At 36.3% G+C, this 17,172-nt stretch overlaps 1 long non-coding RNA gene across 4 annotated transcripts in view; it reads left to right on the top strand.

Moving 5' to 3' along the window:
* Window positions 1–2,004: 2,004 nt before the first annotated feature.
* Window positions 2,005–17,172, top strand: part of LOC107986634 (uncharacterized) — a 117,445-nt gene continuing 102,277 nt past the window's right edge. For all 4 annotated transcript variants that reach the window (XR_001744301.2, XR_001744303.1, XR_001744302.1 and 1 more), the window contains exon 1: window positions 2,005–2,063. This is a non-coding gene — a long non-coding RNA (uncharacterized LOC107986634). The remainder of the gene's footprint in view (window positions 2,064–17,172) is intronic.

The following is a 17,172-nucleotide window of genomic DNA, read 5'->3' as shown; positions in this document are numbered from 1 at the left end:
AAAAAAATCAGTCCTGTGAGGCTGCATACCATATGATTGCATTGAAATGATACTCTGGAAAAGGGAAAACCATAGAGATGAAAATCTATCAATGGCACCAGCGCCTTTGGGAAGGGAGAATGTTGACTAAGATGAGTTGAAGAACTGAAGATGTTTTTATGACTAAGGAATGAATCAAAATGATACTGTTTGACCCCTCCTTTTCTCAAAATCCATAGGACTTCAAGGACTAAGAATAAAGCTTAATAGATGAATTTAAAAAAAAATCAACCAGGAATACAGGAGATCCCAGGATAGAATGCAGACTGTGTCAAAATAATCTAACTGTATTACAAACGTGTGATATAATCTCACTGAAAAGGGTGGAGAAAATAAGTATTCAGCTAAATAACTTTGGAAATGACTGAAAACTGGAAGAATAAAGACCAGGAAACTATACATAAGCATTGGATTGTTGCTGCTAAAGTTGTTTGTCATGGGAGTACAGGTTAAGAATTCTGAAATTCTGCACATATATACTAGAATTGAACAATAAGTAAATAGATGGCAGGTGGTAGAAGCCAGGTTTTTTCTGTTGGAGTTAGCAGTTACAGAGAAGCAAGGAGGAAAGGCTGGAATGAAGCATAAGGTACCAGACTAGAATCAGAGATATTTGTAGGGACTTGTGTCTAGCTTAATATAGATATTGATAGATATATAAAAGCAAAATTATATATATGTGTGTATATATATACATATGTATATATAATACACGTGTTAGTATGCATACATATATTTCCTTGCTCCATTTGCTGAGAAAGCCTAAAAGCAATGAGTACTCCAGCGTTCAGACAGTTTCTAACTCCATTCTCCAATAAAAGTAAGCAGGGCTCCTTTGAGAAATGTTTGGTTCTAGAGCTGGGAGGGAAAGTGTACAAGATGAACCTGGAGTATGTTGATGTGCTAAAATTTAGGGTATTGCTCAAAAAACAAAACAATGGCGGTAATTCAAAGGAACACTTTCTAACTGAAAAAATGCTTAATGGTCAAAGCTGAAACAATGTGAGCAACAAAATGAATAAGATATTGAATTATAACCCAAAGTACAAAATAAATATCTGTGAGTCTGTACCACTACGATTGAAAACTAAATGAGAGAGAAGACAGAAATCTTCCATAGAGAAAAATGCCAAATAATTTAGGTAGATACTGCACCCTCAGGGAAGCAGAGCATGAGTTCTTCCTCACATATGGGCTGTGCTTAGTGACTTGTGTCCACATAATATAGTATAGAAAGGAGGGAAATAAAATAACTTTACAACAGAGAAATCTGAAAAACAATACTTTAGTGAGGTGAACAAGGTTAACATCATCAGTGAGAAGATAAGTTCTCTTGCTGTATTATATTGGGAATGGCACTTCACCTCTGTGGTCTTCCTCTCTACACAAACATAACCCTGGTCTTAACATGAGAAAAATATCAGATGAACTCAAGATGAAGGACATTCTGCAAAATACTACCAGTAATCGTCAAAAGATGTTAGAGAAAAAGGAATACAATCTAAATAAATGATGGTGTTTCTTTAATAATAATATATCAATATTGGTTGAGGAGTTATGATGAATATAATGGATTAATTTAAGATGTTAGCAATGGGGTAAATGAATGCAGGGTATGTAGGGACCCCGTACTATCTTTCTAACTTTTCTGTTAATCTTAATTCTAAGACAAAATGTGTATTAGAAAAGAAAAATGGTAGCGTTTCTGTCTGCCTCTTTCTCTCTCTTTCTCTCTCTCTCTCTCTTTCTCTCTGGATATGTACCTTAGGAGGCCTGAGTTAACATGTAAGATGTCTAACTATCCCGAAGCCACTATGCTGGAAGGATCACATGGAGAGACCACATAGAGATACAAAGATGCCTGAGGAAACCCAGCTGTTCAGCACAGATGTTTTTTAGTTTTCCCGTTGCCCAGGCATGCGAGTGAGTGAGCTTTCCAAAGACTTTAACCCCAGCCTTTGAGCTGCCAGAGCTGACATGAAGTAGAACAGAGATGAGCTGAGCTTTGCCCCACCTGCAGATGTGTGAGTAAAATTAATGTTGCTGTTGTTTGAAGCCATGTTTTTTAAAATTTAGTTTTTACACTGACAAACAAAAATTGTATCTATTAGTGCACAACATGATGCACACATGATGTTTTGATATATGTATACATTGTGGAATGGCTACATCAAGCTGTTTCACATATTAATGAAGTCTCGAAATCTTGAAGTGGTCTGCCACACAGCACTAGATAAATGGAACACTCCTGTTTTCTAAGATTTTACAATGATACCTCTAGAAAGCATTTCTTAAGTATTACTCATTTTGTTCAATATTTGTTCAATATTTCAAAGTATTCAATTTTGGCTCAATTTTTTAAAGTATTACTCATTTTGTTCAATATTTGTCAAGCTCTTTTAGTTTAAGCATATCTACCATAGCTCTGGAAATATTCTTGTACTTTTTAAAAATAATTTTATCTCCATTTCATGTATGCTCCCTTCTCAGAAAACTAATTCAGTGCTGAGTGTCTTAAATGAATACCTTGTCATTGTTATCTTTTTCCTATGATTATGTGTTTTAATATATATTTGAGGAATTCCTTTGACTTCATCTTCTAACAATTTTTCAATTACTAATTTTGTAATTAGTAATTATTTCTTTTCCCTTGATCCTTAATTTGGTGAGTAATGCTACTCTTTTATTTTATGAATTTTATATATATATATATATATACACACACACACATACACATCTTTCTAAGAATAAATTGCCCTTCTACTTCTTACATTACTTTTGTTTTCTTTCACATTTTAAAATGATACAATAAAATATTTGCTTGATACCACTCTGTTCATAAATGAGTTTTATTGACAGGTTGCTTTTGCCAAACAGGATACAGAGCTGAGTGTCAGTCACTGTGCTTAAAATTTTCTAAATGCCAGAATATACTAGTTGCCCCATTTCTTGCTAGGCAGCTAAATTTATTCTGAGACTGATTTTCCTTTGGCTGTTTACTTAGTTGTATATATTTGCTTTGGTAGTTAATACCTGGCTTCTGGATTAGAGATGGAGAATTATTACAAACATAGGAACTTAATTATTCTTTCTCTTTCAGACCCACTTTTCACTCCAATCATCTGGGGTCACTTGCATTATTGCCAGGGGCAGCCTAGTTTCCCCTTTACCTGCAGCCCCCTCTGGATTCCATCAACTCATCTGTTTTTCATCTTTCAGAGATATTTTAAGTGTCTGCTGATGTCTCACTTTCTATTATGCTTATGGTTGTAGGATTAGATCATTTTCATTCATTTAACATCATTATAATGGCTATCAATGGATAGGAAATAAAAGTGTTCACTCTTGAATTAGAAGTTGACAACTTTATTACTGATCCAGGAAAGGATATTAATAAGATAAGATTTAAATGTTTATAGTGCATGAAATTGAAAAGGAAAGCTGAAGAGTAAAAGCCAATTGTAAAGGCTAAATTCATTGCCAGGTATTATTATTATTACTGTTATTTTTGTTGCAATTGCTCTCATCATCATCATCATTATTCCAGATACATATTTATTTGCTATAAGACAACCCAACTACTTTTCACTGTGTCCTCTGTTGCCATCCTAGTCTAAGTCACCATTATTTCTCACCTGGATTACTCCAAATGCCTAGTAAATGCTTCCATGCTTTTCCTATTATCCAGTGAAAACATGGTTATCAGAGTAATCTTTTAAAAATAAAAATCAGATCATAAAATGCTCCAATTGGTTTGCCAATCTCTTAGAATAGAACCAAAATCTTGTAATGAGCTATAAGCCTATATAACATACATCCTGCCTACAGTTTGACTTCATCTCATATTTCTCTTCTTTCTTATTTCCTATGCTCCAGACATTTTATCATTTGCTTTAATCACACTAGTTTTGGTTTAATTCCTTCAACTTGCCAAAGCTTGTCCCTAGAGCACCCTTTACATGGATGGCTTTTGCTCACCATTTGTCTCACATCCAGCCCCTTCCCATACCTGAGAGGCCTTCTTGACTACTGTACCTTATTAGAGCCTCCCTCCCAGTTAATCTATGTAAATCTTGATCATTTTTTAGTCTATATCTCTATGGACATTCTAGACATTCTATATTTATATATTTGATTACATGTTTAGCATTCATCTCCCTCAGAAGAATGTAGGTTACCTGAGGAAAGGGATCTTTATTTTCATTGTACAGAACCATGGTCCTGATACCTAATAGGGACTCAGCATAACTGGTTGAATGATAGGTATTGCATCTCTTCTTATGAAAAGTATACAGACTTTGAAAGTTTAAATAACACCCAAGTTCACACATCTGGTTAATGATAGAATTGAAGTCAATCCAAGTATTTAGTTAGGATTTGGAAAGTCCATAATTTTTTTAAAGCATAATGGCTCAATATAAAATACATCTATGTTCAGCTCATTTAACTAAGGCAAGTATTGGTCTCTAAGAGGTGGCCGTCCTCAAAAGGCAGTCAGAGACCCAGGTCCTTTCCATCTGTGGCTCTCCATTCTCATTGCTGTATCTAGCCAACAAAATGGAAAAAAGAGCATGGGATATTTTTGTGAATCAAGTGTGGAAGTGTTACATACACTCACATTCCACTAGCTAGAACTCAGTAATATAATTTATATAACTACATGTAACTGCAGGAAAGTTTGGGTAGTATGGTTATTATGAGTTAAATTGTGCCTTGCAGGCAAAGATTTCATGACGAAAATGCCAAAAGCAATTGCAACAAAAGCAAACATTGACAAATGGGATCTAATTAAACTAAAGAGCTTCTGCACAGCAAAATAAACTATCATCAGAGTGAATAGACAACCTACAGAATGGGAAAAAAATTCTGCAATCTATCCATGTGACAAAGGTCTAATATCCATAGTCTACAAAAACTTAAACAAATTTGCAAGAAAAAAAAAAAACCATTAAAAACTGGACATAAGACATGAACAGACACTTCTCCAAAGAAGACATTTATGTGGCCAAGAAACATGAGAAAAAGCTCTACTTCACTGATCATTAGAGAAATGCAAATCAAAATCACAATGAGATACCATCTCCCACCAGTCAGAAGGGCTATTATTAAAAAGTCAAGAAACAACAGTTGCTGGAGAAGCCGCAGAGAAAAAGTAATGCTTTTACACAGTTGATGGGAATTTAAATTAGTTCAATCATTGTGGAAGACAGTGTGGTGATTCCTGAAAGATCTAGAGACAGAAACACCATTAGATCCAGCAATCCCATTACTGGGTGTATGTATATACACCCAGTAATGATTTATAAAGAATATAAATCATTCTATTGTAGAGACACATGCACATGTATGTTCACTGCAGCATTATGCACAATAGCAAAGGCATGGAATCAATCCAAATGCCCATCAATGACAGACTGGATAAAGACACTGTGGTATATATACACCATGGAATACTATGCAGCCATAAAAAGGAACTAGATCATGTCCTTTGCAGGGACATGGATGGAATTCGAAGCTGTTATCCTCAGCAAACTAACACAGAAACAGAAAAGCAAACACTACATGTTCTCACTTACAAGTGAGAGCTGAACGGTAAGAACACTAGGCGGAGGGAGAGCATCAGAAAAATTAGCTAATGGATGCTGGGCTTAATACCTAGGTGATGAGTTGACCTGTGCAGCAAACCACCATGGCACACGTTTACCTATGTAAGAAACCTGCACATCCAACAAATGTACCCCAGAACTTAAATAAAAGTTGAAGAAAAACTAAATACATAATAAATAAAAAACATAAATAAAAAATAAATTGTGCCTTTCAAAAAATAACATTGAAATCCTAACATACAACACCTTAAAATGTGACCTTATTTGGACATAAGGTTATTGCAGATATTGTTATTATAGTTATGTTAGGGTGAGATCATACAACAGGATTAAGGTTGGTCCCTAGTCCAGTATGACTGGTATCCTTAGAAGAAGATGGCCATGTAAACACACAAATAGAACGCGACATGATCATGGAGGCAGAGATTGGAGAGATGCACCTACAAGCTAAGAAATGCCAAAGACTTCTGGCAACCACCAGAAGCTAGGAGAGAGGCATGGAACAGCTTTTCCCTCATAGCCCTCAGAATGAACCAAACCTGCCAATACCTTGATTTCAGGCTTCTAACCTCCAGAACTGTGAAAGAATCAATTTCTGTTTCAAACCACCTAATGTATGCTTCTTTGTACAGCAGCTGTAGGAAACATCCATGTGACCTATATGTGTGCCCAGGAAGAAGAGGAAATGGATTTTGTTGAATGTTGAGCAGCTGCTTCCATACCAAATCTGACTTCAAAATGTATGCTCTATGATGTTGCTAAACAAGATGAATTTTAATAAATGAAAATTGATTTAAATTCAAAATAAACATGCTAGTAGAAGAGTCAGGGGAAAACATGACTTTACAGCAGGACATGAGGGAACCAGCAGGAATCTGTGCTTGCCATGAGCTCTGTGTGAGTGATGCATGACATGAGAGAGATGAGATGATAGAAAACAGAAACAGATACCAGTGTGTCCAGAAAAGGCTTTGCTCTTTTTTTTTCAATATAACCATACCAGAAATATTGTGCTTAGAGCTGGAAACCTTAAAATAGGAGCTATGTAGATTCAGCAAAGCCTATACAGAGGAAACTATCTGAGGTGGAGAAGGAACTGAAAACTTTCCACTATTAGGACTGGGTGAACGGACGGGCAATATTTTGCTCAGAGACTAAGCCATTCAATGAGTGATAGTTTTTTGCAAGTATTTTTTTAAAAGAGAAACAGAGATAATCTTTGTTTTATTTAAGCCCAAAAGGTGGAGCTAGGACCTTTTGGTCTAATAAATTGCGATTAGAAAGACAGAATTTGACTCAAGATGAGAATGCACTTTGTAGCAATCAAAGTTTTCCCAAGGTGCACTATGTTAGCATCCAAAGCAACTAAGCTTCAATATTAGAGAAATGTTCAGAAGAGGCTCAAAAAGAGGAAGGACATCACAGTGTGAAGCAAGCATTGAAGGGCAAAGTGTGTTAGCTCAGCTCTATGTAGTCTTCTGCAGCCATTAACTTATTTTGGTAAGATTTTAGTGGAGTTCCTCAGTTTCACAGTTTCGTGGGTCAAGGTATGTTTACATGAAGGCCAAATTGTAGGATACAATATGGTGAAGTATGAGAAACTCAGAGTTTGGAGCCCTGAAAACCTGGTTTTAAATCAGACTTTAGTGTTTCCTATGTGTAGGTCATTACCTGTAAGTAAAGGTTTACTAATAATGCAAAAATGTGTGGTTGAAATCAGGGCTACAGCGAATTTAAGAATAGCTCTAGAGCCAAAATAATAGATGTAACTAAGGCTGTAGAAAAACTAATAGACGTGAATAGAGGCAGTTATCAAACCTCTCTGAGCCTCAGTTCCTATCTATACAATGGAGCTACAGATATGTACTCTACCTCCTCAGAAATGTGTCAATAAAGTTAGATAAATAAAAATGCATCCTTTCTAAAATATTAAACAAATGTCAGTTATGAGTAATTACATGGCTAATTAGAAGGGTTTTTGGTAAGTGTGTTAGTAGCTTGATTTTTGGCAAGCCTGCTGCCATAGTTGAATTGTTCATGTCTGTATTTTCCTTAGAGCAGATATTCATGGCACTTACAGCTTAGCAGAGAGATAGAAGTTCAATAAATTAACCAAATCATATCACAGTCATGAGCTGTCTCCTGGTTTATTCTCTGCATCGATTTAGCTGGGAATCCTCTGCAGAATATTTTCCCAATTTCAACAGAATAGTAACTTTTTTTTTCTTTTTTTTTTTTTTGAGACAGTCTCGCTCTGTTGCCCAGGCTGGAGTGCAGTGGTGCTATCTCGGCTCACTGCAAGCTTCACCTCCCGGGTTCACGCCATTCTCCTGCCTCAGCCTCCCTAGTAGCTGGGACTACAGGTGCCCGCCACCAGGCCTGGCTAATTTTTTTGTATTTTTAGTAGAGACGGGGTTTCACCGTGTTAGCCAGGATGGTCTCAATCTCCTGACCTCAAGATCCACCCGCCACGGCCTCCCAAAGTGGAGGAACTTTTCTATATAAAAGAATAAAATGGTTAGTTGTTAGGTCAACAATCCACAGGATTGGAAGGCTGAAAATGTTAAAGTGGCACAATTATACAGATTTAAGTAGAATGGGCCGATAAGATGCATCCTTATTAATGTCCATTCAAGGAGATATAGAAGAGACTCAAGGCATATGAGTTTGGAATTCCTGCATGTAGTGCCTTCATCACTCCAACTTTCCTCCTTCCTGAGAATATGGCAGTTAAACTTGTCCTTTTTTTTTTTTTTTTTTGGTTTGTGCAAAATTCCAGGGAAAAAGGGGCTCTTTGGATTTCATTAGGCCATTGTATGACATTGATCCTTGAGGATATGGGAGAAAGTGCCTTCCAGATTGAACAAAAACAGGCTTGTTCTAGTTTATAAGTATATACACAGTAACTTATGCAGTTGAACTTTCAATACAATGTTTTGTAGCTAAATCAGGGGAGCAGAATTATTTAATGGGGCCATGATTGTGGCTTGAGGCCATGTGCTCACATTTTAAAACTACATTTTCCCATTTTCATCTTATTAAGCTGGTACAAGTACAAAAAAATTAATTTTAATGACAAAAATTGGTAACTATTTGGAATATTTTAGAGTTACTTGTTTAAAAATGGTATATTCTCTATTTAACAACTAGGCAAGTAATGATAATTGGTGTTGCAGTCTGCGTCCAGCCAGGAAACTAGAAACTATTTAAAACTAAGAGAATTTGATGTAGCAAATTGATGATGGAAGAACTATTAATTCTGAGTGTGGTGAGGCAACCTCAAGATTAGCAATAAAAACATGCCTCCACTCCTAGCCTTAGGCTGGAAGAGATTTTACTGTAGTTCAGCAGCTGGAGTGACTCAATAGCAGTTGAAATAGTGGTAATTTTTTTTTATTCCTAATAGGAGCTGGAGCCATAGAAAAGATAAAGCTGCTGGAGATGCTTCCTGTGGGAGGAAGGCACAAAAATAAATACCCTGGCCTCTCCTTTTCTTCCATCCTCCAATCTCCTGCCAGTAACTTCTGTTGGGCAAACACAAGAAAAGCCAGCTAATTCAGGAGGCTAAGAATGCAATAGCTAGAATTCAGTCTCTGTGACACAGAGCTTAGCAGAAGAAAGCAGGGAATGGATCTGAGGGAAAGTCAGCCCAGTAGTGGCATGGATAGGTCTTCACGTGGATCCAACAGTCAAATGTATTTGCTCAAAATTTAATTATCTTTGCTGAACTGGGCAGGATCTTATTAAGAATTGTATTTTTAAATATCTTTGGTAAATGAGAATGAAAAAATGAAATCTTAGAAGAAAAATATAACATTTTAGCTTTGCTATGAGAAAAAAAATCCAAGGCAAGCAAACCATTAAATTTATGAACTTGTTCGTCTTTACCTGGGTCCTTAGGGTAATCTATTTGTCTCAACTAATGTGGAACCAGGTGTCAAAAACCTGATATTTATAGAGCTCCTGCACAGTAGTGATCTTTGTTTTTGCTAGTTGGTAGCTTCATTGTTTCTCCATGGACACCATCGTGAAATGCACCCCTTTGCCACAGACAGCACTAGGATAGAGCAATATCAACTAATCCCAAGTTTATGAAAAACTTTATGGCATATATTCAGAGCACATGACATCTTCATATTGAACAACAAAACAAACAAAAATTTAGGATTATGCCAGACCAAAACCTTTATGACCACTAGAGACAAATTAAAAAGGAAACCCCTATTAGATATTCCCTGTATATTGCTGCTTAATCTCAAAGCTTCTTGATGAAAATATATGGATGTTTTGCCTCCATGATGACAAATATCCAGATGTCTGGGAATAACCATAAGTTCCTTTAAATACTTTTTAACTTCCATCACTCTGTTTGGAGTGACAGCAACATAGCTAACATATGGAAATTACAGCTTGAATGACATAATGTAGCTAAGAACAAATACAACTGTTTTTTGTTTTGTTTTGTTTTCATAGTTTTCTGTTTTTGCACTTATGGGCTGTACTGTATTTAGACAGATAATTTTTAAAATGTAGAAGAACAAAAGAATAAACTTCAATACCATTGTAGTCAACCTTGAAAGAACAATACCACAAAGCTCATCTCTTGACCCTCAAACCTTGGAATTTCATGTATTTTTCCCTGGCCTCCTAGTGAGATCTCCTGTTCATTCTCTCATTAGTTGATCAATGCATTATAGCTTTAATGCACTGAATACTATTTATTGAAAATTAAATACTGTTTATTTCCATGCTAAGTATTTTACATATGTTTACTCTGTGGTAAGTGCTTGGAATCATGATATGGTGACCATTTTAGACGTAGGTGATATACCGGGAAAAATTATTCCCATTTTATGGAAGAGGAAACTGAGATTTAAGAAGTTTAGAGAAGTTATCCAAGATCACAAAATCTAGTAAATGTTTTCCTATGTTCCAGATAGGAAGTCAGGGCTTACTGTTGATAATCTTAACAAGTATATGGTTCTGAGTCTCCTGCGTTTATGCTCTTTGTTTCTCTCTTTCTCAAGAAAGATTTTAATTAATTTATTTTCATTGAGGTATAGCTGTCTAATTAGCATCAATATGTAGTGAACTGTGGGTATTAATTTTCTTGCCTATCAAGCATTCTTATTCATTTTCCCTGGTTATAGACCTATCCTTTGGTCACTTGGAATAGAAATAAAACCTATGCCTGGCCAGTAGGGTCATTCATGGTAAACTATAATCCAAGTAATAATTATTGGTCCATGCAGAGTATATGTGACACAAATAAAGTAAATTAGATTACCGCTATAGGATTAATATATGAATAATAGAATAAAGGGAATGTTCCTTTGTCTCTCTCTCTCTCTCTGTCTCTCTCTCTCTCTCTCTCTCTCTCTCTCTCTTTCATGATTATCAATAGGATGAGGTTGCTGGACATAGGAAAAACCCATTTACAGAAGAGAATGGAACATATATGCAAAGAGAATGAAAAATAAATGGATAGAGAGAAGAGAGAGGGGGAAAAAAGAGAAAGGAAAAAGAGAAAATCTCCTGACAGCACTAAATCTCCAATTTCAATCCCTAAGGCTGGTTCCAACAGATATTCCTTTTTTGTTGTTATTGTTCTTATTGCTTATGGAAATTTTAGTTCTATTTTTGATAATGCATGGAATTATGACAATTTATCCCTTGAAGTATAACTTATATTTATAAAAGATGTAAAGCCTTAAGCACATAATTCTCTAACGTGGTAACTCTTGGTGTTGATAAGACAACACTAAAGACATGCCTTTGTGCTGGAGGGCTTACCTCTCACCACATATGCTTGTTGACTTCTATGCCTTATTGCTTGGGGTTCTTTTTCTCCACTGAACTCAATTCTCTGGACCAGTTGCCTCACAGTGGGGATTCTGGGCTATTTTATTTGGTTGACATAATATGTAGGACTGGAATGCTTTTAGGTGGCATAGGGACTCTATTTATCCACAGTTACTTACAAGCATTTTTTGAACACCTTGCCTGCGTAACTTTTCCTGACCTTTAAGGCATTTAGTTTTATAATTCCTGTACTAGAAATTTTCTTGTCATCCTGCTTCTCCTTCAAAACATACCCATTTTACTCCCCAGTGCATCAAGACTTGACTCTCCTTTCCAAGGTGAAAACTTTTTTTTTCTGGTACATTAATCCATCTGAATATGTCAGCTGGTAATAATGTATGTTTTGTGGTTCCTTCCAGATAAGAGATATATAAATTGGAAGGTAAGAAAATGAATGAACTGGAAACATCATGCCTGAATTCCACAGAGAGAACAAAACTTAAATTTCATCATAAAAATTATCAAACCTAATTATCCAAAATAAATTAAATATAAAATTATTTCAGTTGGTACTCATTTTATAATTGTTGAGCATGCAGCTGATAAGGTTAAGCAGCATGCTACTAATGCTATGGATAGCAATCCCAAGCTCTAATCATTTTTTTCATAGATCAAACTTGACAACCACTGTATGAGGTGGTTTTGAAATTAATTGAGTATTGAAAATATAAATCTTAAAAGTCAATAGTGTATTTGTGATGGAGAAAATGGAATGGGAATTGACTTTTTAGTTTAACAAAATGGTGTTTAGATGGTTCAAGGAGACATAATGGAAATGAGTACTTGGACTCATCCAGTCTTCATTCAGATGAAAGCAATGAAAAGGCCAAGGGAAATAGCAGGTCAGGATATTGGCAAAGATATAATTGAAATCATAAATCATTGATTCTAAACTGGATTATGAGTGAATTTAAATAAAACTAAGGTTAATTAGTTCAGAAAGGTAGAATACATAAATAAAGAGATGGACCAATGAATAGATAGTAGGTTGGAAAGGATGGGTAGATGAATGGAATAATTATCATCTAGAACAAATTCAGGCATTTGTCAATTGACGTTATATGTGTCATTTAAAAAAACTGAAACAAAACTGAGATTTTTGTAGCAGAACTCTGAGAGAAAGCGAAGAATATTCTACATTTTTGACTGCTAAGGAGTTCTTTCTGTCAAGGCTCTAAACATTCAACATCAATTTCTACCAAAGAATTTTCCATCACTTTCTGTGGAAAAACCCTTGGCAAATTGTACTGAACACTTTAGCATGCTATATGGTATTTAATTATGGAATTTAATTTCAAATCACCTGCTTCTAGTCAGTTTTATATGGGAACACTTCCTAAATGTGCTACATTTAATGCAATATCTACTAAGTTTCATATGGTAGTTTTCTCATTTCAGATAGACACAAAGCTGACATTGATGGAATCTGAATGGGGTTGGTTTTCTTTAATGGGATTATCTACATTCTTATACAAATGACATCTATTAAGTGTATAACTTGCTAGGTTGTATGGTAGATATTGGGAATAGAAATTTTAATAGGAAATTGTCTCAGATCTTTAGAGCCCAGGAGAAGAGACAAGCCTATGCCTTAATGAATAGCTGTAAGCAGAGTGCACTGGATTTCAAAATTCAGACCTGACTACCTACTGCAATAGAGAGGGTTCATAAAGTAGGCAACATTTGTGCTAGGTCATGATGGATATGCCAACAAGGAATAATGTGTGAGATACACACTGTGTTGATCAGAAAATATTGTCATCTACTTCTTTTATCTTTTGGTAGAACATATCTACCACTTACCTATCTCTTCTCCTTCGGTTAGAACATATTTCTCCACTACATTGATATTGGGCTTGACTATGTGTCTTGCTTTAGTCAGTGGAAGGGAGCAGTCATGATGCAAGCAGAGCCCATAAATGTGCTAGCATGTGGCCCCTTGCATTCGATAATCTGCCAGAAAGAGAATATACTCTGAATAGCTGCTGGTCCAGGAAGAATGAGGAGGCACACAAAGCTGATCTAATTCCAACCTACCAACTGGAGCCAAGCCCAGCAGATCCCAGCTGAGCCCAGCCTGAATCAAAGCTGCCCCACACAACGCTTAAGTGAAAAACCAAAAATGTGTGTTGCCTTAAGACACTGCCCTGGGTTTTGAGACAGATTTTTATGCCTTATTATGCCACATAGCTAAATAATACACAGGGAAAGCCTTGCTGCCTAGAAAGACGAATACCATGTGAAGGAACGTAGCTATTACTTTGCTATGGTTACACTATGATTACACATTGAGTTACTATAAAAGAAAAGTAGGAGCTCGAAGACACAGTTTGAGGGCCAATTATGAAACTGAAGAGTTGGACCGAATCTCATAGGTGACGAGATGTGATCAAAGTAATTCTTTTTCACAGAAGGAATGACATAAGCATTCTCCACTGAGTTAATCTTGCAACTTTGTCTAGGAGGATATCTACAAGCAAACTCACTCATTCAATAAATATTAATGAGCATCAACTATGTGTCAGATATTTTTGATACATTAGTGAATGAAAATAGGTCTCTGCTCTTACCTCTTAGTGGAGAGAAATGGACAATAAACAATAGATATAATAAATGATGTACATAATATATCAAAAAGTGATTAAGTGCCAAGGGAAAAAATAACAAATAGCAGAGCATTGAAAAGAGGGTTGCAATTTTTAAAAGGTTAGTTGGGGTAGGTCTCAATGAGAAGGCAACATTATCTTGGAATCTGCAGTCAAATATTCTTCAAGACTGGCAGCTAACACAAAAAATACAAAAATTAGCTGGGTGTGGTGGCACACAACTGTAATCCCAGCTATTTGGGAGGCTGAGGCACAAGATTTGCTTGAACCCAGGAGGCGGAGGTTGCAGCAGTGAGTGGAGATCACGTCACTGTACTCTGGCCTGGGTGATAGAGCGAGACTGTCAAAATAAAAAGACTGGCAGCTAACATGTGGCTATAAACATCTAGCCAAAAAATTTATGTAAATGACTCTATAATTAAAAGTGTAAATTATTTCTTAGAAAAAGCTGGTGATTCATGTAACTGGTAAAGCGTCAGATACAGAGAAGTTGTAGGACGTCATGACTCCCACAATAACAGCAAAGATGTCTTTGTCAATATGTACGTGGTTCTATTCTGTGATAAAATGGTTCATGAATAGGCAGTAACTGCTGCTGCTGGGCCACCTGTCATCTTGTGATGAAACATATTTTCAGCACCATAATCTGAGTCTTCACTGGTGAGAAATGTTGGTTTATGTTCATCAAGGCGTGAAGCAGAACCTTGGCAATCCACTCCTACTCGGCCTTCTGGAAGGTATCTTCATGCTAGAGAATTCAAACACTGTGCCAGGCCCTTCTCCAGGAAACAGCTGAACCAACTCTGTTATGGTTTCAAGTTACATTTCATGTTACAAAAGATGGCATAAAATTATTTGAATATTTCATAAAGGGTGAAAATTCTTATTTTGCTTTACAGTGGACACAGCATGAATCACAATTATCTTCTTTTGTTTTGCTTTATTTTAAGTAGAATTATACTGGTGGTCACTGTACGATACAGATGGTGTGACGTAATCTTTCCCTTTTTAAAATCTCTTGGCCTTTGCTCCATGAAAACCAAACCATGAGATTGAGCCATGTAAGGCATACTGTCCCCAGGCAGGGCCAGTCCTGACAAGTACAGGGGCTTGATGAGGACTGGAAGATTCAAGTTGGCATGCATCCCTGAGAAAGGGATCCTGTAATCTCTGTTCCATTTCTGACATGAGTTTGAGGGAAGAAAAACTGATAGAAACTCCAGATAAATGTTGATTGTTTTCCAAATACAAACTGTATCCTCTTAACAACAATAATAATTTCTAAATAAAAACTATATCCCCAAACAAGCTTGGAAGTATTAATAACATTCTCAAGTAATTGCCTCTACCGCCTTGGTAGGGTTAGAGAGAAGACATAGATCATGCAGACATGTCCAGGGCAGAGAGGGCCTGAGGAAGAACCACCAAGTTGCCATGACCCTAGAGTGCCATGGGAAAGCAAACACGGAGGGGCTTTCTGGTCAAGCTGTGCAAGATGAAGATGCGGTTATTTTGAAGTACACCCATTAGGAACACCAGCCTCCTGGTAGACACTAAAATAAAGATCACAAATGCCAAATAGTACAAGGTAAAGCTCAGTGAAGGCCACTTTGATGGGGCATGGGAACCACCAAGCATATGTCTGCCCATGTCATGATGGCATATAGGTGCTTGGAATGTTCCAAGCTGGGGAGAAGACACAGGGACAGGGAAATCTGGAATTGAGTAAATTTAAACCTGAAATGATTAATAATACCCTACAATGTATACATCTACTTAAAGTTAAAAACATTTAAATTTTCTGCTACCAAATATAATAACTCAAAGTAAAGATCCAGTTAAACTAAGGAAAAAGGCAAAGGTAGTTACGTTTTTGTACACCTGAGTTTGTGGTTTGAAAATTTATATCTATTCCATTAGGAAATGCATAGTTGCAATCAGCACTTCAAAAATTTTATATCCCAGTTATCTATCAAGGGAGATGGCATCTGTTCCACTAAAACAGATAAAAGTCATAAATTTTATCTATTGCACTAATTCTTCCCAGAAGGGCAACCTGTGCCTTAATAAAAATATTGTCCTGAAAAAAAATACATTGTTTCTTCTAATATCTGTCTTCAAGCATGATGGAAAGGGGCAAACATTTACTTATCAAAGACGGATATTCATATTTGTAATGCTACAGCACATATTCTAAGGACAACTCCCTACATAATTCGGAAACACAAACTATAGTCTTGTTGTATGCATGGCATTCTCCCTGGTCACTATAAAGAGTGAATCTGATTCTTAGATTTTCTCACTTCCTCTAACTTGGAGGTTACCCATGGACTGGAATGGCAGTCCTATACATTCCTTGTTCTTCGGTCCCCCTCCTCTGCCTTTCTTCAGGTACCTGTTGGGAGATTGACATTGCACATAATTAAGGCCTGAGATCTGGACAGCATCCATTCTAGTATAGCTCCCCAGAGTCCCAACTTTGACCAACAACAGAATTCCTCGGCTTCCACTTGGGAAGTTGTTCTCTGTCTCTGTCTTGGCACTTGTTCCCTATTTTTAAATAAGAGATTATTCTTCACAAATCATCCTATGGATCACATTGATTCCCCAGGCCCATTCTATGCCAGCAGCTTCTTCACAGCTATAGTTCCTATAGAATACACACACACACATATACATATATGACTCTATAGATTGGATGTTTGGGGTTACTGAGGAGTTAGGTCAGTTTTCACAGCAGTTATTATTTGCTTCCTTGCATTTCCTGGCTTTGTAATCAAACATAATATCAATGTTAATTCCTTCTTAAAAAATGATTGCTGTAGAAAAAAATTCAGTAAGCTTTCTAAATTCGCCCTACATTTGGCTAACAGCAAATGAAAATTCTCAAAGTCTCATTTCTCTTATTCATAAGCATAAATCAGTAGTCAACATTTCCACCCAAGAATGAAAAAAGAAAACTGGTTCTTAGACCATTTTTCATGATTTTTAGAGTACCTAGGCATTTAACCAAAACAATACATGTTGGCTCAATTGCTATTTCTGTGTAGGTTTTAGTG

This window comes from Homo sapiens, chromosome 6 (genome assembly GCF_000001405.40).
Source record: "Homo sapiens chromosome 6, GRCh38.p14 Primary Assembly".
Taxonomy (NCBI): Eukaryota; Metazoa; Chordata; class Mammalia; order Primates; family Hominidae; genus Homo; species Homo sapiens.
Note: the sequence above shows the minus strand (reverse complement) of the source record. Positions and strands in the feature narration are given on the sequence as shown.